The 24093-nt window shown below is 45.0% G+C and overlaps 4 annotated features.

Annotated features, from left to right (window-relative positions):
* Nucleotides 12323–12617: an enhancer, noted in NCBI's record as "tiled region #3500; HepG2 Activating DNase matched - State 12:CtcfO, and K562 Activating DNase unmatched - State 8:EnhW". NCBI's record gives its function as "activates a minimal TATA promoter and a strong SV40 promoter by Sharpr-MPRA in HepG2 and K562 cells {active_cell/tissue: HepG2 | K562}" and the evidence as "EXISTENCE:reporter gene assay evidence [ECO:0000049][PMID:27701403]".
* Nucleotides 13337–14203: an enhancer, noted in NCBI's record as "H3K27ac-H3K4me1 hESC enhancer chr12:13409703-13410569 (GRCh37/hg19 assembly coordinates)". NCBI's record gives its function as "activates a minimal SCP1, AML or CMV promoter by ChIP-STARR-seq in primed H9 embryonic stem cells {active_cell/tissue: H9 hESC(primed)}" and the evidence as "EXISTENCE:reporter gene assay evidence [ECO:0000049][PMID:30033119]".
* Nucleotides 21069–21644: an enhancer, noted in NCBI's record as "NANOG-H3K27ac hESC enhancer chr12:13417435-13418010 (GRCh37/hg19 assembly coordinates)". NCBI's record gives its function as "activates a minimal SCP1, AML or CMV promoter by ChIP-STARR-seq in naive and primed H9 embryonic stem cells {active_cell/tissue: H9 hESC(naive and primed)}" and the evidence as "EXISTENCE:reporter gene assay evidence [ECO:0000049][PMID:30033119]".
* Nucleotides 21645–22219: an enhancer, noted in NCBI's record as "OCT4-NANOG-H3K27ac hESC enhancer chr12:13418011-13418585 (GRCh37/hg19 assembly coordinates)". NCBI's record gives its function as "activates a minimal SCP1, AML or CMV promoter by ChIP-STARR-seq in naive and primed H9 embryonic stem cells {active_cell/tissue: H9 hESC(naive and primed)}" and the evidence as "EXISTENCE:reporter gene assay evidence [ECO:0000049][PMID:30033119]".

The following is a 24093-nucleotide window of genomic DNA, read 5'->3' on the forward strand; positions in this document are numbered from 1 at the left end:
CTGTAATTACATCCTCAAAAGGGCATTCCACTGTTCTGTCAAGCTAGCTGCTTCAGGATAGTGGAGAACATGGTAAGACCACTGAATTTCATGAGCATTAGCCCACTGCTGTGAAGTGAGTTCCATAATGAGAAGCAGAGCTGTGTATGTCAACCTAAATAATAGAGAGGGAGACTCACTAGAAGAAAATGTTGTTTATTTGAGAAAGGGCATTGCAATAGGAATATGCATACCCTAGTAAATGATGTGCATTTCCAGGGAAGTAAAGGAACATAAATGTTTTTAAAGGAAAAATGAGGAGGATTGCATAATTGTTTTGGGATAAATATCCTTGGCTACAAGAATCAATAACAAGCCAGTTGAGGTTGGCAAGGTAGTTTCTGTACAGATGTTCTCACAGAAGTATTGTTTTGTGTAAGATTGTGTTGGCATTTGTGCAAGTCTGTGGTTTTTGCCGAGTGTTTTGTGATAGTTCTTGTTATCAGGCATTCATGCACAAGAACACTCCTTCTGTGGCCTTTCTCAGCTCTATTTGTTAAGGTTATATTTTTTTAAAATTTATTATCTATCTATCTATTTATTTTTATTTTTTGAGACAGAGTCTTTCTCTGTCATCCAGGTTGGAGAGCAGTGGCACAATCTTGGCTCACTGCAACCTCTACCTCCTGGGTTCAAGCAATTCTCCTGCCTCAGCCTCCCGAGTAGCTGGGACTACAGGTGCACACCACCATGCCTGGCTAACTTTTATATTTTTGTAGAGACAGGGTTTTGCCATGTTGCTCAGGCTGGTCTCAAATTCCTGGCCTCAAACGATCTACCTGCCTCGGCTTCCCAAAGTGCTGGGATTACAGGCATGAGCCACCACACCCGGCCTCTGTTTGTCAAGGTTATTTAAACATAAGTGACTCAATTTTTATTCTGACAACTTTCACATGTGGAATACCATGATGGTGGACAAAACATTCTGTGACACCATGAATGGTAGTTTTGGCAGAAGCACTGTGTGCAGGGAAGGTGAATCCATATGCAGAGTGTCTATTCCAGTAAGGATAAAATGCTACCCCTTCCATGATGGAAATGGTCCAAGTAATCAACCTGACACCAGGTAGCTGGCTGATCATCCTGGGGAAAGGGGCCATATCGGAGACTCAGTGTTAGTCTCTGCTGCTGGCAGATTGAGCACTCAGAGGTGGCCATAGCCAGGCTGGCATTAGTGGGTGGAAGTCCATGTTGCTGAGCCCCTGCATCACTCCATCCCAGCCACGATGGCCACTTCATTCATGAGCCCATTGGGCAATTACAAGAGTGGCTGGGGAAAGAGGATGACTGGTATCCATAGAACAGGTCATCTTATCCACTTGATTATTAAATTTCTTCTCCTCTGAGGTCACCTTTGGTTAGCATTCACATGGGACACAAATATCTTCACAACTTCTGCCCACTCATAGAAGTCTATCCACGTGACTCTTTCCCACATTTCTTTGTCACCAATGTTTCAATCATGTCCTGTCCAAGTCCCTGACCCTCTGGTCAAACCACTGGCCGCAGCCCATGAATCGGCATACAATCACACTTCCTTCCAAGAGAAGTGCACGACCAGGTGCACTGCCCCAAATTCTGCCCATTGAGAAGACTTCCCTTCACCACTGCCTTCAAGAATGTCCAAGAAAAGAGCTGTAGTGCTGCAATTGTCCACTTTCAAGTGGTGCTTGCATATCATGCAGAAATATCTGTAAACCAGACCTTACTCTTCTTCTGTCAACTGGTTATAGAGTACTACCCAAAAGGCCATAGGTGCAGGCAGGGAGAGAGAAGGCAGTGTAGCAAGAGTAGGAACCATTTGTGCCAGTTCTTCATGTAACTTACCTGTGCCTTCAAGACCCAATGGGCCTGGTCACATATATATCACTTCCATTTGATGATGGAGTGCTGCTGTGCACATCCAACCTCACGGCTTGGTGAGCCTGAAAACACCCAGTTTATGGCAGGAATTTCAGATTGCATGGTAACTTTGTGGCCCATGGTCAGGCCTTCAGTTTCTACTATGGCCCAGTAGCAGGCCAAAACTGTCTCTCAAAAGGAGAGTAGCTGTCTACAGATGACGGCAGGGCCTTGCTTCAAAATCCTAAGGGCCTTTGCTGTGATTCACCTATAAGGGCTTGCCAAAGGCTCCAAACAGAATCCCTGTCTGCTGCTGACACCTCAAGCCTTATTGCATCTGCTGGATCATATGGCCCAAGTGGCAGAGCAGCTTGCACGGCAGTCTGTACCTGCTGTAGAGCCTTCTTCCATTCTGGGGCCCACTCAAAACTAGCAGCTGTTCCAGTCACTTGGTAGATAGGCTAGTAACATACCCACTGGACCCCTAGAAATTTCAATGAGGCGGAAGTCCCCGAATTTCAGTTAGATTTTCACCCTCTGACATACAAATGACTTACCAATAAGTCCAGGGTAATTGCTACTTCACGCTTACTAGGTCCAATCAGCATAATGTCATCAATGTAATGGACCAGTGTGATAGCTTGTGGAAGGGGAAGGTGATCAAGATCCCTTCAAACTAAATTGTGACACGGGGCTGGATCTACCCCTGAGATAGGACAGTGAGGGAGTATTGCTGGCCTCATCAGCTGAAAGCACACTGCTTCTGGTGGGCTTTGTGGACAGGTATGGAGAAAAAGGTATTTTCCAGATCAATAGCTGCATACTGGTATGAGGATATGTGTTAATTTGCTCAAGCAATGGAAACACATCTGGTATGGCAGCAGCAATTGGAGTTACCACTTGGTTAAGCTTAATAATTTACTGTTATCCTCCAGGATCCATCTATCTTCCGCACAGGCCATAAAGGAGAGTTGAATGGGGATACGGTGGGACTCATCACCCCTGCATCCTTCAAGTCCTTGATGGTGGGACTCACCACCCCTGCATCCTTCAAGGCCATGATGGTGGCACTCATCTTGGTAATCCCTCCAGGGATGTGATGCTGGTTTTGAGTTACTGTTTTCCTAGGTAGGGGCAGCTCTAATGGACTTCCATTTAGACTTTCCCACCATAATAACCCTCACCCTACTGGTCAGGGAACCAACATGGGATTCTGCTAGCTGCTGAATATGTCTATTCCAATCATGCATCTGGAACAGGGGAAATGACCATAAGATGGGTCCGGAGACCCACTGAGCCTGCGGTGAGTTGGACCTGAGCTAAAACTCTATTGATCCCCTAACTTCCATAAGCTCCTACTCTGACTGGTGAACCACAGTGATGTTTTGGGTCTCCTGGAATCGATGTCAGTTCAGAGCCAATGTCCAGTAGTCCCCAAAATGTCTGATTATTTTCCTTTCCCAAGTGCACAGTTACCCTGGTAAAAGGCCGGAGGTCTCTTTGGGGAAAGATCAGAGAAAGATTAACAGTATATATTTTTGGTAGTATACCAGGCTCCTTCCTGGAGGGGCCCTGGCCCCCCCTTCATTAGAGGGGTTTTGGGTCTGTAAACTGGCTCAAGTCTGGGAACTGATTGAGAGGCCATGATTTTCTGTTTTTATGATTCAAGGTAGAATTTTGTTCACTTGACCTGGAAATGTTCTGCTTATATAAATCAAGTAAGAATGTAGTAGGCTTCCTATCTATTTCACTTCTAGGAACACCATGATTAACTAGCCAATGCCACAGATCTACGTAAGTCAGACTATTCTGATTGTTGCTTTGCCTCTGCTGTTTATTATGGTAAACACATCCACATTGCTTTAGTGATTGAGAGCTGCAGCTTGGCCCCAGCCACCCAGGATCCAATGATTCCCATTGCATTTATGTTTTCCAATTGAGTAACTGTGCCTCCCACTGCAAGGTCCATCCTCTGGAGAAGAACAATCACGGAGTTCTTCAGGCATGCTGGGGCTCTGCTCACAAATCTGTTTCTCACAGTATTGGTGAAAGGTATGTCTTCAGACCCTCCCTTTATAGGTGAGCAGATTTTAAGTGATAAATCCAGTACAGGCTTCCATTCTCTCTAGGCATTTTAATCCCTTCCTCTACAATAAACCAAGGGAGAGCAGGCATCTCCAGCTCCCTCACAGTGGGCCACCTTTTGATCCATGTTTCAGCCAACCAACCAAACAGATGGTTAGCACCTTTCCTAACTCCTGGAGCTGCAACATTAAGCACAGAATCTCTGCTTAGTGGTCCCATATGAATAAATTCAGCCTGATCCAACTTTGTGTTCCTTCCACCATTATCTCACACCCTTAATATCCATCTCACACATGTTTCCCAGATTTCTGCTTGTATAAATTAGAAAACTCAAGTAGTTCTTTTGGAATGTAGCATACCTCCTCATGAGTCACGTTTTCTACCTCACCTTTAGGGGCCTGCTGGGACTTGAGTCTGGTTATAGGGCTAGAAACAAAGAGGGGAGGTGAGGGTGGGTCCTGAGGAGAATCAGCCTTGTCTTGGAAACTGCCTTGGGACGCCATTACTGTTTCCTCGGGCAAGGAAGGGCTAACCCCTTCAGACACAGGTGGAAAGGCTGATATTGATACTGTTGTGGGTGGGAAGGCTGCTGCCTGGGGGTGAGGGTTGTAAGACCACCTCTGCTTGGCAAACAAGTCTCATCAGAATTTAGGGGCTCAATGTCCCCAGTTTCATCAGAGTCTTTCCACACATCCTCATCCCAATTTACAGAATCCCATTCTCTCCCAATCACTGCCCTTAATTTCACACCAGACACTCTGAGAGGCTGAGTCCAACTTTTGTTGTAAATCAGCCAATCAGATGATAAGGGCTTGTGTTTGATTTTCAGCAATTTCAGCCCTGCAGTTACAGAAGAGAAGATTCTGGCTCAGGGCACACTTAGAAGCTTGTAGGTTATTTATGCAGAACTGGAGCTGGAAATTTGAATCTCTGTTATATTTTTCCATCACTTTGACCAGTGACATTAGAAGCAGCCCATCAATGTTATTATTTTCCTTAGTTTTCCACAAATGTTTAAAGGTGTCATGTACAGAGTCATCAAGTTCCTTGCATTAATTTGGATTTAGATTTGGAGCATCAAATGCAGATATTTTGTGTATCTCTATAAACAGTTTAGGACATGAATTAGCAGTGCTCTCTGTACTGTTAGAAGTAGAGTTCCGAGCATTTTTAGGTGTGGTCACATTAAAGAGACAATTTTAGAAACCCCAAAACCAATTAGGGGAACTCATTTTTAAAATTCTGTTCCTCTAGAACCACTCCTGGTACCAAAATCTGTACTAATCAGAGTACGGCAGACAAATAATATCCTAAGCCTCCCAACTGACCTAACAGACCCCCTTTTGGCCAAGAGTACCCAGAGAAACCTTCAAAACTGAGTTCTGGCCAGGACAGGATGGGAGGTCGGACATGTCTCAGTATACTCCTTCTTTATTAACTTTTTTTTCACCTCACTCTGTCACCCAGGCTGGAGTCCAGTGTCATGATCATAGCTCACTGCAGTCTCAAACTCCTGAGCTCAAGCAATCTTTACTGCCTTAGCCTCCTGAGTAGCTGGGACTACAGGCATGCATCATCATGCCCAGCTAATTAACATTTTTTTTTTTATAGAGATGGGGTCTCCCTATGTTGCTCAGGCAGGTCTCAAACTCCTGGCCTCAAGCAATTCTCCTGCCTCAGCCTCCTAAACTGCTGTAATTATAGGTGTGAGCAACTGCACTGACCCTTATTAATCTTTAGCCAGAATTGCTTCCTAAGGAGTAAGAAGAAACCAGCTATGAAAAATAAGAAACAGACAACTCATTCTCTTATCTCCTTTAGTCTATTGTCTGAGGCTGTGACTGGACTCCCCTTCCGTCTTTGCAGTTTTAAGGTGACAGCTGACCAGTTTCACAATGTGTCCCTTCCTAAAAACTGACCACCAGCTCCAGACTGGTTTTGGCTGATTTGAAGAGGATGTACAGTGGGGTTTTTTCGGGTTCTCTGCTTCACCTTTTGATATCAGAGGCCTGAAAACTCCACTCTTGGACCATGCTATTGCTAACATTTTTTGAATGTGCAACCCATGAAGAGGCATGAAGCTCAATTGCACATGTGCATGTTTCTCCTTTCATCAATATTTGTGACTCCTATAGCTTATTGAATATGTATACTTAGCCAATTCATTTAGCACAAATTCCTTCTTATCCTTCCCTCCCTTGGAGCATTTGCTCTGGGCTTCTGCTGAAGTCTACACTTCCCAGACTGCAGGATGGCTAGGCTGCCCCCTTTTTTTTTTTTAAATTTTACTTTAAGTTCTGGGATACATGTGCAGAACATGCAGGTTTGTTACATAGGTATACATGTGCCATGGTGGTTTGCTGCATCTATCAACCCATCATTTAGATTTTAAGCCCCACATGCATTAGGTATTTGTCCTAATGCTCTCCCTCCACTTGCCCCCACCACCACCCCAACAGGTGCTGGTGTGTGTTGTTCCGCTCCCTGTGTCCCTGTGTTCTCATTGTTCAACTCCCACTTATTAGTGAGAACATGCGGTGTTTGGTTTTCTGTTCCTGTGTTAGTGTGCTGAGAATGATGGCTTCCTGCTACATCCATGTCCCTGCAAAGGATATGAACTCATTCTTTTTTATGACTGCATAGTATTCCATGGTGTATATGTGCCACATTTTCTTTATCCAGCCTATCATTGATGGGCATTTGGGTTGGCTCCAAGTCTTTGCTATTGTAAACTGCAGGCTGCACTTTTTATGAGAGATAAAGCTCTCCTCTCTAAATTCATGAACCTCATGATTCTTCCATTCACAGAACCTATAGGAGATAGATAGATAGGTATGAGAGGTTATTTACGAGGGGAATTGGCTCATGTGATTATGGAAGCCTAGAAGTGTCATAACAGGCTATCTGCAAGCTGGAGACCCTGGGGTGCCAGTAGCATGGTTCAAACCAAGTCCCAAAGCTTCAGAACCAGGGAAGCCAGTGATGTCACTCTCAGTCTGAGGCTGAAGGCCTGAGAACCTGGGTGACTGCTAGTGTAAGTCATGGAGTCCCAGTGCTGAAGAGTCTGGCGCTGTGCTGTCTTCAGGCAGGAGGAAGAGAGTGTCCCAGCTCCAGGAGAGACAGAGAGGAAATCCTTTCTCTCATTCTTTGTCCTATCCTGGCCTCCAGCTGACTGGATGGTGTCTGCCCACACTGAGCAGGTCTTCCCTCCTCAGTCCACTGACTCACCTGCTAATCTCTGGAAACACCCTCACAGACACACCAAGAAGGAATGCTTGACCAGTTCTCCAGGCATTCCTTAATCTAGCCAAGTTGACATCTAAAAGTAACCATCACAGTGTATAATGTATTTAGATGTTTGTTTATTTTCTGCCTCTTCCACTAAATTGTAAGATCCAGGATAACAATGACTTGGTACCCCCAGCACTTAGAACTAAACTTTGCTTGGAACAGAGGCCACCAATAAAACATGGCTAGAGAGAAGAATGAAGGAAGGAATGATTACCAGCAGCAATAGAGACTAATGCTTCTTCTAGGGCTGGGGAGAAGAAGGCTCCCCACAATCACTTTTTTTTTAGCATCTTGTGCCCACCCACATGGCCAAAGGATTAACATGTACTGATGAACTTAATGCCTCAATTCGTTGCCAGGCACTGAATCATTCACTGTGAATGGTTCCAATTAAGGTTTACCCTTAGACTAGGAGTGGGGTCTATTCAACCTAAACACCTGGGCTGTTACACAGCAGGAATAGCGGACAGGTCAGAATGGATGTTGAGAGGCAACTCCATTTCCCGCTACAAGAGTTCAGAGGCGGTCTATCAGAAATAATGAGCTTCAAACTGGGCATTGCGTTCCAACTTGCACATGATAAGTGGTCACCATACAAAGTCAGTGACAGAATACATACCTCCCCAAGCCTCGCTCCTCCCTCCTTCTTCCAGCTAAATCCTTTGGTCTAAAACATACAGTTTGTTATTCTGCAAAATAAATAAAAAGGATACACTGTCACACAGTTGCTTTGAATGGGATGAAAAAAATGAATGAACAAACCAATGGTTAAAATTCTGTACAAATGGACTGCACACCAAATGGGAACAGGCATGATGCAGAACACCTGAGTAGCTGGGGTTACGGGCATGCACCACCGTGCCAGCCTGGATTTTTGTATTTTTAGTAGATATGGGGTTTCACTATGTTGGCCAGGCTGGTCTTGAACTCCTGGCCTCAAGTGATCTGCCCGCCTCCCAAAGTGCTGGGATTACAAGCATGAGCCACTGCGCCCAGCCAGCAGATTGCCTTTGGACTTGAACTCCAACTCTTCCTGGTTTCCAGTCTGCTGGCCTACTCTGCAGACTTTGGACTTTCCAAGCTTCCACAATCACGTGAGCCAATTTCTTAAAATCTCTCTCTCTCTCTATCTCCCCACACCTATCCTGTTGGTTCCATTTTTCTGGAGAACCTTAACTGACACAGATTATCCCCTGGGGTACTGATGATAAAATTGTGGCAAAAAACAATATGTTGTCCGGGAGCCTATGTTGTTTTCTAACAGTAGCAGTTGTGCACACCTCGGCCATGGTGACAGATAAAACTTGTGCATCTTCCAACTGATAACTGTTACTACTGGTCCTGGAGACTCATTACTTTAGGGAACTATAAGCAGTTTATGCATTTTCAAAACCACTGGGGTGGTCAAACAGACTAGAAAGATCATATTCCTAGGATCTATTTATGGGAGCAAGCATAGAGTGATCAGGCCAGGCAATAAGACCAGGCACCAGAGCAAGATTCAATAAACTGACTGGACTATGATTCAACTGAATCATTGTTTCTGGAGTCTCTGTGCCTTTGTACATGCTGTTCCCTCTGCCTAGAAGAGTCCTACTTTCACTATGTATTAGTCAGGGTTCTCCAGGAAAACAGACCAATGGGATATGTATATATCCAGAAATAGATTTATTTTAAGGAATAGGTTCATGCAATTATGTCAAGTCCAAAATCTGCAGGATGGGCCAGCAGGCTGGACACCCAGGGCAGAGCCAATGTTGCAGTTCATTTCTGAAGGCCATCTGCTGGCAGGATTCCTTCCGGCTCAGGGAGATCAGTCTTTTGCTCTATTCAGATAATTGAGTGAGGCCCACCCACATTAAGGAGGGCAATTTGCTTTACTCAAAGTCCATCTATTTAAATGTCAATCTCATCTGAAAACACCCTTACAGAAACATCCAGAAGATTGTTTGACCGAATATCTGGGCACTGTGGCCCAGCCACACTGACACATAAAATTAACCATCACCTATTGTTTGCTGGGAATTTCTCCCCATTCTTTAAGGTTCAGTTGAAACATCTTGGCAACATCAAGCTGCTTCTTCATTCCACCGCTCGGCCTCAGGACATTCTTATATTTGAATCCCTGTCCCACAGTACTGTAATGATTTACTCACATGCCTGTGGTCTCTCCTAGACAGTGAGCTTCCAATGGCATGGACCATGGGTCTACTGGAGACAATATTGCAAGATGATATTCTAGACTCTACCCAATGCCTAGCATACAGAGTTGTTCAATGCAATTCATAGAAGAAGGTGATAAATTAATGGAGGGGAATCAGGAGCTAGAAATAATAGCAGCATTGAGTTATTTGATCTCCAAATAATGAGCTTCTTCTCCTCTCCACCCCCCGACAAATATTTGTTGCTTCGGAGATGCAACAGAGCTAGCGGATCTACCTGGTCACTCTGTCCCAAGAACACATGTACACACATACCCATATTCATTATGACAGACCATGAAATGATTTGCCAAGTCAGCCTCTTGCTAAATACCTGAACTTGGGCATGATGCTTACATTCCAAAAGCTTGTTTTCTTTTAAAATCAATCATATGAGAACAACAATAATAATACCTATAGCACAGTGTTGTTAGAAAAATTAAGTGCCTATCATATAGTGGGTCCTTAGTAAAAGTTGATCCTCTTCCCTTAACCATGTTTGTTTTTATTTTTGAGACAGGGTCTTGCTCTGTTGCCAAGGCTGGAGTGCAGTGGTGTGATCTCATCTCACTGCAACCTCCACCTACCGGGTTCAAATGATTCTCATGCCTCAGCCTCCTGAGCAGCTGGGATTACAGGTGCCCACCATGACACCTGGCTAATTTTTGTATTTTTAATAGAAACAGGGTTTCACCATGTTGGTCAGGCTGTTCTGGAACTCCTGACCTCAAGTGATCCTCCCGCCTTGGACTCCTGAAGTGCTGAGATTACAGGCATGAGCCACCGTGCCTGGTCCCCTTGACCATGTTTGAGTTAACATCTAGTATATCGTGCATTAACTATTGAAAGTAACAAAGAACGTGTCAGTGAGTTCCAAAGATACTCTTAATGTCTCTTGATGACCTGGCCTTCTTATTTGTCTTCTTTCACTTTTTGACCAAAAGGAAGAACATAGATTGTGTAGGCAGTGGTCCCACACGAAAGAAGGAGAAGATAACTGGTGTGTGCACTATTTTATACTTTATTGAAATCAGTGATTCTTAATCTTGTCAGGAACACAGGCACTTTTGAGGATCTGAAGATAGCTAAGGACTCTTTCCCCAGAAAAATGCATATAAATGTGACACTTTGCATATAATCCTAAGATGTTCATGGACCCCACACACTCAAGGTTAAGAATCCTGAATCAAAATCTCCTCATTTGCTGCCTGTCCCTTGCTTCACATGTTCTGTCTCTCTCTATATATAGATACACACACATGCTCTCTGTTTCTCTCTCTGTATGCGCACAATGTTTCTCTATCTCTCTCTATTTCTGTTTCTCTTCCACATCTATATATTCATTCATCTGCTTAACTCACATGTTTAGGATTAGGATAAAGCTTATGGATGGCTAGGTGGATGGATAGAAAAGTCGAGGACCAGAAGGAGCTGTGGAAAGAAACACTTTAGACAAATTTAACAGAGTTTAATTGGGCAAAGAAAGATTCGTGAATTGGGCAGCTCTCAGAACCAGAATAGGTTCAGAGCGACTCCCGGTATTCACAGAAAAAGGAAAGTGCCATACAACGGAAGTGAGGACAGAAACAGCTGGATTGGCTACAGCTGGGCATTTGCCTTATTTGAACCTGCTTTGAACAGTTGGCTGCCTGTGGTTGGCTGAGACTTAGTTACCTCTTACAAGAGTAGGTTACAGTGTGTTTACGTATGCACATCAAGTTAGGTTACAGTTCATTATGTACAAAGAATGGCTCCTTTTGTAATTATTATTGTTGCTTTCACATGATTGATTTTAAAAGAAAACAAGCTTTCAGAATGTAAGAATCATGCCCAAGTTCAGGCAATTAGCAAGGGGCTGCCACACAAGTCAAAGGCAAATTTAGGCCAAACTTAAAATATGTACAGAGACAGCTTTAGGCCAAACTTAATTTAACAGAGCTGTGGAGTTAGAATGGTTCGTTTATTTTCACAGATATGTCACCTTGGAGATGTTAATCTATTATAAGTCAGAGTATAGTAATGGGTAAACTCACCTCCTGGGGCCATTTAGACAGCTTCACATATTCTGTGCAAGCTTGGACCGGACTATTAATTCTGTCTGTATCTCAGTTTCCCTAACTTTAAAATGGGGATAACAGTAGTTCCACCATCTTGAGCTGTAAGGATTAAATAAACTAAGACATATACAGATTTTAAAATCATGTATTTTAGTAAGCGTTCAGTAACTGTTAGCTTGCATTTTATTTTGATGACTTAAAATCACTTGTACTATAATTAGTTAGATACAAAGGACAGCATTCTACAAATAATAAATTCAACACCACTAAGAGAAAAATTTCACTAGAAATGTCTTTTCAGAAAAAAAGCACTTCCCTTAGGTGATTTACTCTTCAGTAGGGATTTTAAGTTAACAGGGTAGCTGGGATACCAGTCTTGATTTTTTTTTTTTTTCCTGGGAGCCAGTGAAAAAGGAATCCATTGTCTATAACATGTCTTTTCTATAATAACAAGACCTTCTCACTGGGAGAGGAACCCAAGTCTACTTCTAGACATCACTAGCAGGGTTTTTGTCTTTTTGTGTCTTTTACTTAGGAAGGGCCTCTAATTATTTTTATACCAAGGCAAAAGGTTTACTATTATATAAAATTATAAAGCTGACACTTTCTCACGAAAGGTTACTTAAAAGAAAAAAAAGATGAAAAAAGAAGTGTAAACGTGCAGTCATCACTGCTAACACTTCACATTTCTAAGGCAAAAAACTGTCTAAGATTGAATTTATTTTCCCTAATTTATAGGTCTTGTTTATCTTCGGCCCTTCACTCTTCTCTTACAATGTTCGCCTTGTTGTTTTTTTTTTTTTTGAATATAAAATATAAACCACTGCAGAACTGCGGCAGAATTACCCAGCAAGTGCAGTGTTACCAGTGGGGGAGGAGCCATCTATCCTAGGCCAGCTCCTGGCACCCCCTTGCCTCGCCGGGAGGAGGAAGGTGCAGCTGAGCCTGCGTCCAGCAGATGGCGCTGCCTGCAAAACCTGGAAGGGTAGGGGAAGTCAGGGCAGGGAAGCAGGGAGCTGAGTCACGGGACAAAGGGAGAGGAGGCGGCAGGGAGGAGAAGGGGAGGGAGGACCCGAACGGTGGCAGTGGTCGGAGTTCTGATGGTTGCAAAAGTGTGAAATGTTAATTTTGAAGTGAACATAATTTCATTCTAATTGTAATTAAGGTGGGAGGAGACACCCGCTTTCTGTCTTAAGTGCATTCAGACTTGTTTGGGAACGTCAAAAAACTCGAGGAGCCAGAGCTCCCAGTAGCTATTTGCATAAGAATGGAGGATCCTCCAGGGAGGAATTCATCCCATGGGAAGATGGAGCTGCTACCGAGCTAGACCAGGAGCAGCTGGGGCCTGGATCACTGAGTGCTCATTGTGCGAATAGCCAGGAAGTGGCTCATGACCCCCTGGAACACAGCTCTGCATCTTGCAGGGGAGAGAGGGGAATCTGTATAAAAACTGTAAGCGATGTTTTACTAAAAATCCCAAAAAAGCACCTAGGTAGAAGCCTCTCAGCCTTGGGGCTCTTCCAGCGGAGTGTAGCACCAGAGGCCCTCCTAGAGCTGGCCCAGGCTGCCTGGGACTGTGGGGACGTTGCTAACGGTGGTGGTCATCATTGCACACCCAGAACTGATTTCCTGCCTGGCCCTGTGCCAAGTACTTTACCTTCATCAACTCATTTAGGTTTCAAAATAAATCTAGGAAGTAGATTCTATTTTCAGTCTCAAAATTTTACTGAAGAGGAAACTGAGGCTGACTTAACTTGTGGACAGAGCTAAGCAGTTGTTGGAAGCCAAGTGGGCCTGGTCCCAGGACACATGGCTGCCGCCCTCCTTGCCTTCCGTGCCTATTTAGGCTCTGGGAGCAACCAGGCGTGCCCATATTATTCACCCAGAGGACTGGGTGAGGTTGTGGTGGAGGGTGCTGAGCAATTCTACCTGGCTTTGCCATGAGGTCTTTGAGGTGCTCCTGGACTTGAGATAAACCTTGGGGATCTGGGTTTTGGAAACGCATCAGGTATCAGGCAGGGACCCAGAAGGAAGAAAGCAGTTAAGAGCTGTGGAGGGTAAGGTGTGCTCAGAGGCAAGAGAGGCCAGTCTGAGCTGGTGGAGGGGGCGCAGCATGAACCTGGGCAGGAGGAGTGGGAACTGGCAGGCTGGAATAACCTGGCACCCATGTTGGCACACTTGGGCACAAAGAGAACACAGTGGAGGGAGGAGAAGGTGACCTTCACTGCCCCGGGGCCCCTGAGGCCTTTGAGTTCTTCCGTCGTGGGCTCACTTGCCAAGCTTTGAGCTCTTGGTGCTGACCAAGAAGGCACAAATTGTTTATGGGCCTTGGTCAACGCCACGTGAAGATGGTATCAGAAATGAAAAAAAAATTTTTTAAAGAAGGTTGCAAAGAAACTAACATTATTGTCAATTCTCAATTATCTGTGAGGGATAAGGTTAATTGAAACACACAGATTTCAATAGCTAATAGCTTTTCTTTCTTTTGCAACCCATCTTTTACTACAGCTTCCAGAAAAAATAGCCAAAATGACTAATCAGATTTTCACACTGACTCCTTCATATCCCCCATCTGAAGTGCTGATAAGCAGTGAAATAGCCTCAGTGTGGACGCAGGAGGGAGAGGAAGGAAAAGCAGAGGTCTGGGGAACTCCCTGCCTGGAAGTGAATTTCCTAAGAAACCCAGAGCTGAGGACCAGGATATGAGGGGGAGATCTGGGCACAACAGTTGCAGCTGTCACTGAACCTCAAAGCCTCAAGGGCACCCCATAAAGCCGAATATCTTCGGAGGTGTGAAAAACAGCCTATTGAGGGGGCTTAAGGGGGAACATAGGTATACAACTGGGGTGGGCTGAACTGAGCACCAGTGAAAGAGGGAAATAAATTCAGTGACAAACTCCATGCCTCATATCATTCCTCTTCCCCTTTGTTCCTCAGGACAGTGGCTCTTGTCTGGCAAATATTTATCTAATATCTGAATTATTGGTGATGTCATGCATGCCCTTGTGTCTTAGAACATACTGTGATTTAGAACTGAAATCCTTTATCGTCCCCATTTCTGCTAAGCTGGATCTATTCTTGATGTAAAGATTTGGGATCTTGGGAAGAACATTTATATCTGAGAGGAAGGGCCTGGTGTGTAATCTCAGAAACACCCCTCCCTTTTCTTATAAGCAGGGGAAATGGGTTTTGGCTAAATAAAGGGGTTGTAAGTGAGGGTGACTGGGCAAGGGGCTGGGGACAGGGAGGGCAAGTGTTTCCCACCTTTCTTGATGGTAGGGGCTTGCCAGAGATGGAGGCAGTTGCTCCAGGGCAGGAAGAGGCAGTCTGCAGCTGGGGGAGATTAAGAAAGAGAGTGAAGCCAAGACTGCCTGGCCAGGAGAATGAGAGGCAGGGGGAGGGATGGGCTCTGTGTGGCTATAGCCTATGTTTAAACCCCTGTCTGCTGTTCAGACAGCAGCTGCCCAGAGAGAAGGCGCCACAGCCTCCCTCCTTCCTCTTGTAGCACATCGCCTGTTCTTCCTTGGCCTATGACTTTCTCACCTCTGAAAGCTGTTGCTCTGGCCTTACAGCCCAAGAGCCCAGGAGCAGTGCCCTGACCACTGCTGCGTGGTACCTCACCAGACATGCCCTTGGAGCCAAACCAAATGGGGAGTCCCAGAGCCTGCTGGGGCCGGTTGCCTGGGGCTGCATATCACCGTATATCAAAGCCGAGGAAAGAGGGTGACACCCTCAGGGGAGAGAATTCTTGAGGGCAAGCACCCACAAATGCTATTTCCATACTCTTGGTAAAACCCCCTCTTACTATTATGGGATGTGGGCAACTATGATGAAGATGAGGAGGGGGAGTTGGGCAGGAAATTTGAGCACTGTTATAATATAGAGAGGGGATTTCTATGAATTGTGAGAAAGTTTACTCTCCTGTGAGTGTGTGAGCCATTGTGCTGCTTATCTTTCTTGTGAAGTCAATAAAACTCCCTGGGATTCTATAAGCAGATGTTATCTCTGGCCATGACTTTGCTGGTCCTGAGGAGGCAAGACTTTTGAATCGCAGGGTGGGAAGTCTCAGTAGTGGTGCTGTGTTCCTGGAAAAGCAGGACTCGCAGATGGGAACGGCTTATATCCCAAGTTGTCAGGGCCTTTGGGGTTTGTCTTCCACTCCAGGAAGGGCTAGGTATGTTATTATTTGGCCGCTAATGATGCGGTCTTGGGAAAGCCACATCACCATCCCGACTTGAGCTTCTTCATCTGAAAAATGAGAGGGTTGCATACATAGTGTCAAAGGTGATCATTCACCTCTAATAGGCTTTTATTGTAAGTCTTTGGACAAACAGCTTACCTCTCTGACTCTATGTCCTTATCTACAAACGGGGATAATAATATCCACCCTTACCTTCTAATCTATGTGAAAGCACTTAGCGCTCTGGGAAGGAAAAAGCATTATTTAAATCCAGGGTAGAATTATTATTATATTCTATTTGTTCTCTCCTAGTCATTCATCATTGCTCTGCTCTACAATTATGCCCTGGGGTGAGTTATGTGAATAAACAGTCACACCTGGCAAGTTTCTTGGGAGGCTGAGCATTCTGATCGTGCTGGGGGGAAAGACACCAAAATTCTTTTATTTAGTTATTTTAGTGTGCAACTTGCTATCTATTTAGTATATAAGCCAGAACTGGAATACATTACTTTCATGCGCGTCCGTGTGAAGAGACCACCAAACAAGCTTTGTGTGAGCAATAAAGCTTTTAATCACCTGGGTGCAGGCGGGCTGAGTCCAAAAAGAGAGTCAGCGAAGGGAGATGGGGTTTTATAGGATTTGGGTAGGTAAAGGAAGGAGGGGGGTTGTTCTTTGGTGGGCAGGAGTGGGGGTCACAAGGTGCTCAGTAGGGGAACTTTTGAGGCAGGATGAGCCAGGAGAAGGAATTTCACAAGACAATGTCATCAGTTAAGGTAAGAACAGGCCATTTTCACTTCTTTTGTGGTGGAATGTCATCAGTTAAGGCAGGAACTGGCCATCTGGATGTGTACGTGCAGGTCACGGGGATATGATGGCTTAGCTTGGGCTCAGAGGCCTGACATTCCTGTCTTCTTATATTAATAAGAAAAATAAAATGAAATAGTGGTAAAGTGTTGGGACAGTGAAAAGTTTTTGGGGGTGGTATGGAGAGATAATGGGCGATGTTTCTCAGGGCTGCTTCGAGTGGGATTAGGGGCGGTGTGGGAACTTAGAGTGGGAGAGATTAAGCTGAAGGAAGATTTTGTGGTAAGGGGTGATATTGTGGGGTTGTTAGAAGAAACATTTGTCATTTAGAATTATTGGTGATGGCCTGGATACGGTTTTGTATGAATTGAAAAACGGAGTAAGATAAGGAGAAAAACAGGTATTAAAGGTCTAAGAATTTGGAGGACCTAGGACATTTAATTAGAGAGTGCCTAAGGAGGTTCAGCATAGCCTTGCCAGCAAAGATTATTTATTTACTTTAAAAGTTAAGAGTGGCAGTTTGGGGATAGCACCAGGAGATATCAGCTGTGATGGCTTAGAGAAACAGTGCAAACCGGCAGTGTAAACAAGAGCAGGGCATGTATGAGTAGTTGAGAACGGTGAATAGGAGTATGACTAGACAGAAGATAGTAGGGATGACAAGTTTTTTGGGGCACAGTCCAAGTTGGTCTGCTGTCTGGAATGAGAGCAGGGCCTAATAAAAAGGAGCGTCTATACAGGAGCCCAAATGGGCTGTACCTTGTAGCATTCTGAGGACAGGTCTGAATTCTGAGAAGGGAAAGTGGTAAAAGTATTGTCCAGTCCTTTTTAAGTTGGTGGCTGAGCTTGGTGAGGTGTGTTTTTAAAAGACCATTAGTCTGTTCTACCTTTCCTGAAGACTGAGGACTGTAAGCGATATAAAGGTTTCACTGAATACTAAGAGCCTGAAAAAATGCTTGGCTGATTTGACTAATAAAGGCTGGTCTGCTATCGGACTGTATAGAGGTGGGAAGGCCAAACCGAGGAATTATGTCTGACAGAAGGGAAGAAATGGCCATGTTGGCCTTCTTAGACCCTGTGGGAAAGGCCTCTACCTATCCAGTGAAAGTGTCTACCTAGACCAAGAGGTATTTTAGTTTCCTGACTTGGGGCATGTTAAGTAAAGCTAATTTGCCAGTCCTGGGTGGGGGCAAATCCCTGAGCTTAATGTGTAGGGAAGGGAGGGGTCCTGAATAATCCCTGAGAAGTAGTAGAATAGCAGATGAAACACTGATAAGTTATTTCTTTTAGGATAGATTTCCACGATGGAAAGGAAATGAGAGGTTCTAAGAGGCGGGCTAGTGGCTTGTACTATAGCATAGCCTGCCTTTGCTGGTGCGTGGCGATTAGGCCTGGTGGAACTGCCATCAATAAACTAAGCGTGATAAGGGTGAGGAACAGGGAAGAAGGAAATGTGGGGAAATGGGGTGAACGTCATTTGGATCAGAGAGATGCAGTCATGAGGGTCAGGTGTGGTATCAGGAATAATGTGGGAGGCTGGATTGAAGTCCAGGCCAGGAACAATGGTAATTATGGGACTTAACAAAGAGTGAGTACAGCTGAAGGAGCCGGAGAGCAGAAAGTATATGTGTCAGGTGTGAGGAAGAAAATAGATTTTGGAAATTATGAGAGCCGTAGAGAGTGAGTTGAGGATAGTTTGTGATTTTAAGGGCCTCTAAAAGTATTAGGGCGGTAGCAGCCACTGCACGGAGACATGATGGCCAGCCTAAAACAGTAAGTTCAAGTTGTTTGGACAAAAAGGCTACAGGATGCGATCCTGGTCCTTGTGTAAGAATTCCAACTGCACAGCCCTGCACTTCGGCTGTGTGTAATGAAGAGGGTTGGGATGAGTCAGGGAGAGCTAGGATGGGGGCAGTCTCTAAAGCTGTCTTCAAGGAACGGAAAGAGGAGTGAGGAAAGGATTTAGGATCTATGGGGTCAGCTAGGTTTCCTTTTGTGAGTTTACATAATGGTTTTTTTAGGATGGCAAAACCAGGTATCCAAAGGCGAAAGTATCCAACCATGCCCAGGAAGGAAAGGAGTTGTTGTTTTGTAGAAGGGGTTGGGGTTTGAGAGATTAGTGGGACACGATCAGCAGGGAGGGCATGTGTGTTTTTATGCAGAATTATGCCGAGGTAGGTAATGGATGGAGAAGAAATTTGAGCTTTGGAGGGAGATACCCGATATCCTTTGGAGAATAGATGCTGAAGGAGCAGAAGTGTGTCTCGTTGAGAAGATTCAAAGGAGGGGCTACAAAGAAGAAGGTCATCAATATATTGAATAAGGTGAGAAGCGGAGGGGTGGAAAGAAAGTAAATCATGAGAAAGAGCTTGGCTGAAGTAATGAGGGCCGTCCCTGAAGCCTTATGGCCGCACAGCCCAGGCAAGCTGCTGGCACTGATGGGTGTCAGGGTCAGTCCAGGTGAAAGCAAAGAGAGGCTGGGACTAGGGGTACAGGGGAATAGTGAAAAAAGCATCTTTAAGATCAAGAACAGAATAGTGAGTTGTGGAGGAAGCTATTGAGGACAAAAGAGTGTTCGGGTTGGGCACTGCAGGGTGGATAGGCAAAACAATTTGGTTGATAAGGCATAGATCCTGAACTAACTTGTAAGGCTTATCTGGTTTTAGGACAGGTAAAATGGGGGATTTGTAAGGAGAGTTGAGTTTATAGGCTTTAAAAGGCCATGGTGTAGCAGGCAAGTGATAACAGGCTTTAATCCTTTCAAAGCATGGTGTGGGATGGGATATTGGCATTGAGTGGGGTAAGGGTGATTAGGTTTTAATGAGATGGTAAGGGGTGCATGATCGGTCACCAGGGAGGGAGTAGAGGTATCTTATACTTGTGGGTTAAGGTGGGGGGATACAAGAGGAGGACGCAAAGGAGGCTTTGGATTGGGAAGAAGGGCGGCAATGAGATGTAGCTGTAGTCCAGGAATAGTCAGGGAAGCAGATAATTTAGCTAAAGTGTCTCGGCCTAATAAGGGAACTGGGCAGGTGGGGATAACTAAAAAGGAGTGCTTAAAGGAGTATTGTCTAAGTTGGCACCAGAGTTGGGGAGTTTTAAGAGGTTTAGAAGCCTGGCTGTCAATACGCACAACAGTTATGGAAGCAAGGGAAACAGGCCCTTGAAAAGAAGGTAATGCGGAGTGGGTAGCCTCTGTATTGATTAAGAAGGGGACGGACTTACCCTCCACTGTGAGAGTTAACCGAAGCTGGGCATCCGTGATGGTCTAGGGGGCTTCCGAGGCAATCGGGCAGTGTCAGTCTTCAGCTGCTAAGCCAAGAAGATCTGGGAAGTAGTCAGCCAGAGAGCCTTGGGCCAGAGTTCCAGGGGCTCTGGGAGTGGCTGCCAGGTGAGTTGAATAGTCCGATTTCCAGTAGGGTCCAGCACAGATAGGACATTTAGGAGGAATCCCAGGCTGCGGGCATTCCTTGGCTTGGTGGCCAGATTTTTGGCACTTGTAGCAAGCTCCTGGGGGAGGAGGTTCTGGAGGAATGCCTGGCCACTGCAGTTTAGGTGTTTGGAAGTTCTTGTGTGCTGGAGATATGACTGGGGTTTGTCTCACAGTGGAGGCAAGGAATTGCAACTTTTTTCTATTATTGTACACCTTGAAGGTGAGGTTAATTAAGTCCTGTTGTGGAGTTTGAGGGCCGGAATTTAATTTTTGGAGTTTTATTTAATGTCGGGAGCAGATTGGGTAATAAAATGTATATTGAGTGTAAGACGGCCTTTTGACCTCTTAGGGTCTAGGGCTGTAAAGCGTCTCAGGGTTGCTGCCAAACGAGCCATGAACTGGGCTGGGTTTTTATATTTGATGAAAAAGAGCCTAAACGCTATCTGATTTGGGATAAAGAAAAAGGAACATTAACCTTGACTATGCCTTTAGCTCCAGCCACGTTTTTAAGAGGAAATTGCTGGGCAGGTGGGGGAGGGCTAGTCACAGAATGAAACTGTAAGCCGGACTGCGTGTGAGGAGGGGAGGTGATAAAAGGATTATAGGGTGGTGGAGCGGAGGCTGAGGAAGAAATGGGACTTAGCTTGGCCTGGCAAGGAGGGGAGAGGTCAGATAGGTCTGTAGAAAAGGAAGATTAGAAAGACTCAGCAACACTTGGGGTTGGGACTGAGGGGACAGGTGGGAGGGAAAGAAGGAAGATTTGGGATGAGTTGCATTGGGAACAGAGACTAGGGAGGGCCTGATGTGTAAAAGAATGCCTGGACGTCAGGCACCTCAGACCATTTGCCCATTTCACGACAAGAATTATTTAGATCTTGTAGGATGGAAAAATTGAAAGTGCCGTTTTCTGGCTATTTGGAACTACTGTCGAGTTTGTATTGGGTCAAACAGCATTTCAGAAGAAAGTAAGAAGCTTAGATTTTAGGTCAGGTGAGAGTTGAAGAGGTTTTAAGTTCTTAAGAACACAGGCTAAGGGAGAAGAAGGAGGAATGGAAGGTGGAAGGTTGCCTATAGTGAAGGAGGCAGGTTTAAAGAGAAGGGTAGAGACATGGAGGGAAGGGGTTCGGGAGTTCTTACCCTCCAGAAAAGCAGGAAACGGGTTGGGGCATGGAAATAAGGGGTTGGGGTGCAGAGATAAGAGGTCAGGCCATGGAAATAAGGGATCAGGGTGCAGAGATAAAAGGTTGGGGTGTGGAAATAAGGGATTGGGGGTTCTTGCCCCCTAGAAAAGTGGGACTTGCCGCTAAGGGTGAAGGACGAAGGCAGGCGTCCCTGCGTGGTCTGACACCTCTGAAACATGGGTGAATAATCAGAGAGGCATCCCTGGAATGACTAAACACCAAGGGAAGGCTGCCTTCCCAGTCCGTGACCCGCGCCGGAGTTTTGGGTCCACGGATAAAACATGTCTCCTTTGTCTCTACCAGAAAATGAAAGGAATTGAAATTAAGAGAAGGGAGAGATTGAAGTGTGGCGCCAAGATTGAAAGGAGAAAGAGGTTGAGGGATAGTGAGGGAGGTTGGAGAAGAGAGTAAAAAGAGGCCGCTTACCAGATTTGAAATTGGTGAGATGTTTCTTGGGCTGGTCGGTCTGAGGACCTGAGGTCGTAGGTGGATCTTTCTCACAGAGCAAAGAGCAGGAGGACAGGGGATTGATCTCCCAAGGGAGGTCCCCCGATCTGAGTCACGGCACCAAATTTCATGCGCGTCTGTGTAAAGAGACCACCAAACAGGCTTTGTGTGAGCAATAAAGCTTTTAATCACCTGGGTGCAGGTGGGCTGAGTCCAAAAAGAGAGTCAGCAAAGGGAGATAGGGGTGGGGCCATTTTATAGAATTTGGGTAGGTAAAGGAAAAAGGGGGGTTGTTCTCTGGTGGGCAGGATTGGGGGTCACAAGGTGCTCAGTAGGGGAGCTTTTGAGCCAGGATGAGCCAGGAGAAGGAATTTCACAAGACAATGTCATCAGTTAAGGCAGGAACAGGCCGTTTTCACTTCTTTTGTGGTGGAATGTCATCAGTTAAGGCAGGAACCAGCCATCTGGGTGTGTACATGCAGGTCACAGGGGATATGATGGCTTAGCTTGGGCTCAGAGGCCTGACAATTACTACCTCTAGAATATAAGACTTGTAGTTATTTGGCCTTTGCAGAGATTTTCTCGCCCTTGGATTTCTGTGGGTGTTGTTTTGACCACTTCCAACCCAGAAAAGCGCACCATGAGTTCTCTGTGGCTCCCAGCAAGACCTTGATAAGGCCCCAAACTCTGACACTTGCTGGGGTTCACAGCGTAACGAGGGTCCCCGTTTCTTGGAAAATCTGCATAGCCCCACATGCATGAATAAAAGCGCATTTCATTTAGCTGAGCAAACACACACAGACTTATAATTGCTTTTATCTTTTACCACTGTAGCCACCAGAGGCCTCCCAAATTGTGGTTGATTTCACTGTCAGTGGAAATCTACTGGGAATTAACAAAAAATTATTTTAAAATTGAATAGAATGTCTGCAAAAGTTCAAAGTCTGTTACCTTGTTCATTCAACATCGCTATTCATGCAAAATGTCATGCAAATCAGTTCTTATTTACTGAGTACTTTGCTTCAGTACCCAAAAAAATGCTAAGAAAAAAATTGCTTATGTTTAGCCATCTATTTTTCCAAAAATAGGACAGCAATTAAAGTAGTACCACATGATGTGACTGATGATATCAGTACAGAAAAAGAACACCATCTCGGTGCATGGTGCTCAGGGCTGAGCATCTGTCTCTCATCAGGGACTGAATGGGGCGTCAAGAAGAGAAGTCCAGGAGCACTAGGACAGTGAGCAATGTAGATGTGATGCAGGGCACAGAATCATGAAAGTACCCTTTGTGGTGAGCAATCATGACAAATGTGTCTTCCAACAGGGCACCTCAGAGATCCCTTGGGAAATTGATTTCACCTCTCTGGGCCTCAGTTTCTTCTTTGACAAAAAAGAAGAGGGCATATTTTGGGCTATGCGATTTCTGTCTTTACAATTCTAAGACAGTTTTCTAAAATATTTAGAACCACTTATCGTGCGTATGTTATATGCAATTGCAACACAAGGTGCATTGCAAAGGTCTTCTTAACCCTCATCTAACGCTTTGGGGTAGGAATAGACAGCTCCATTTTTCAGATGCTGAAACAAAGCTCAAGGAAGTTAAGTCACTTGCCAATGGTCACACAACTTGGAGGGGGCAAAGTCAGGTTTCACACTCAGATCAGTTTGATTCTAAAACTTCTCATTGCCTGATCCTGTCTTTCATGCATTCCCCAAATGAGAGAGTAAAGTTAACTAACCTAAGGAATTTAGCTCCTGGGGTGTAGCTGTATCAGTTTGGAATTGCACAAGTGGTAAGGAACAGGCCAAATAAATAAAGGCTTAAGCACACATGAGCTTATTCTCTCACATGAAAGTGTGGAGATCGGCAGTCTAGGACAGGTGAGGTGGCACTGGAGCCACTAGGGCCTCTGTCTCCTTCCGTCTTTCTGCTTCACTGTTCTTGGATGTGATTTCCATTCTTAAGACTGATTCATGGTCCAAGATGGCTGATGGAGATGCAGCTATCACATTTAGGTTGCAGGAGGAAAGCAGAAGAATACAGTAGGCAGGGACTCCAAGCTGGGTTATCTCCCTTGAAGCAGCATTTCAGAAGTTCCACACAGCTCCTCTGCTTATATCTCATTGGTCAGTTTTAGTCACATGGCCACAACATAGTGGTGAAATGTAAAGCAGAGAAATGGAATCTTTATTCTGGGTGGCAAACTTTACAGCTAAACACTAGGGTTTATGTTATTAAGGAAGAAGAGAGAGTGGGTATTGGGAAGCAAATCTCAGTCTTTGCCACAATAATCAATTCCACAGCTACCCTCAGCTCTTTTCTGCTGATGGAGCCTGGCTTTGATCAAATTTCTACCTCTCCTTAGCCTCTCAGGTAATCCTGAATAGTCAAAGTCAGTCACAGTGGTATCACTCATCATACCTGGGATTTGGTGGTGATTAGCATGTAAACTAGTTTTGGATAATGAGATATGAAAGGGCTACTGGGAGAGGCTTCTTTGCTTTTAACAAAGAGATGCTTGGGAAGAGA

This window comes from Homo sapiens, chromosome 12 (genome assembly GCF_000001405.40).
Source record: "Homo sapiens chromosome 12, GRCh38.p14 Primary Assembly".
Taxonomy (NCBI): domain Eukaryota; kingdom Metazoa; phylum Chordata; class Mammalia; order Primates; family Hominidae; genus Homo; species Homo sapiens.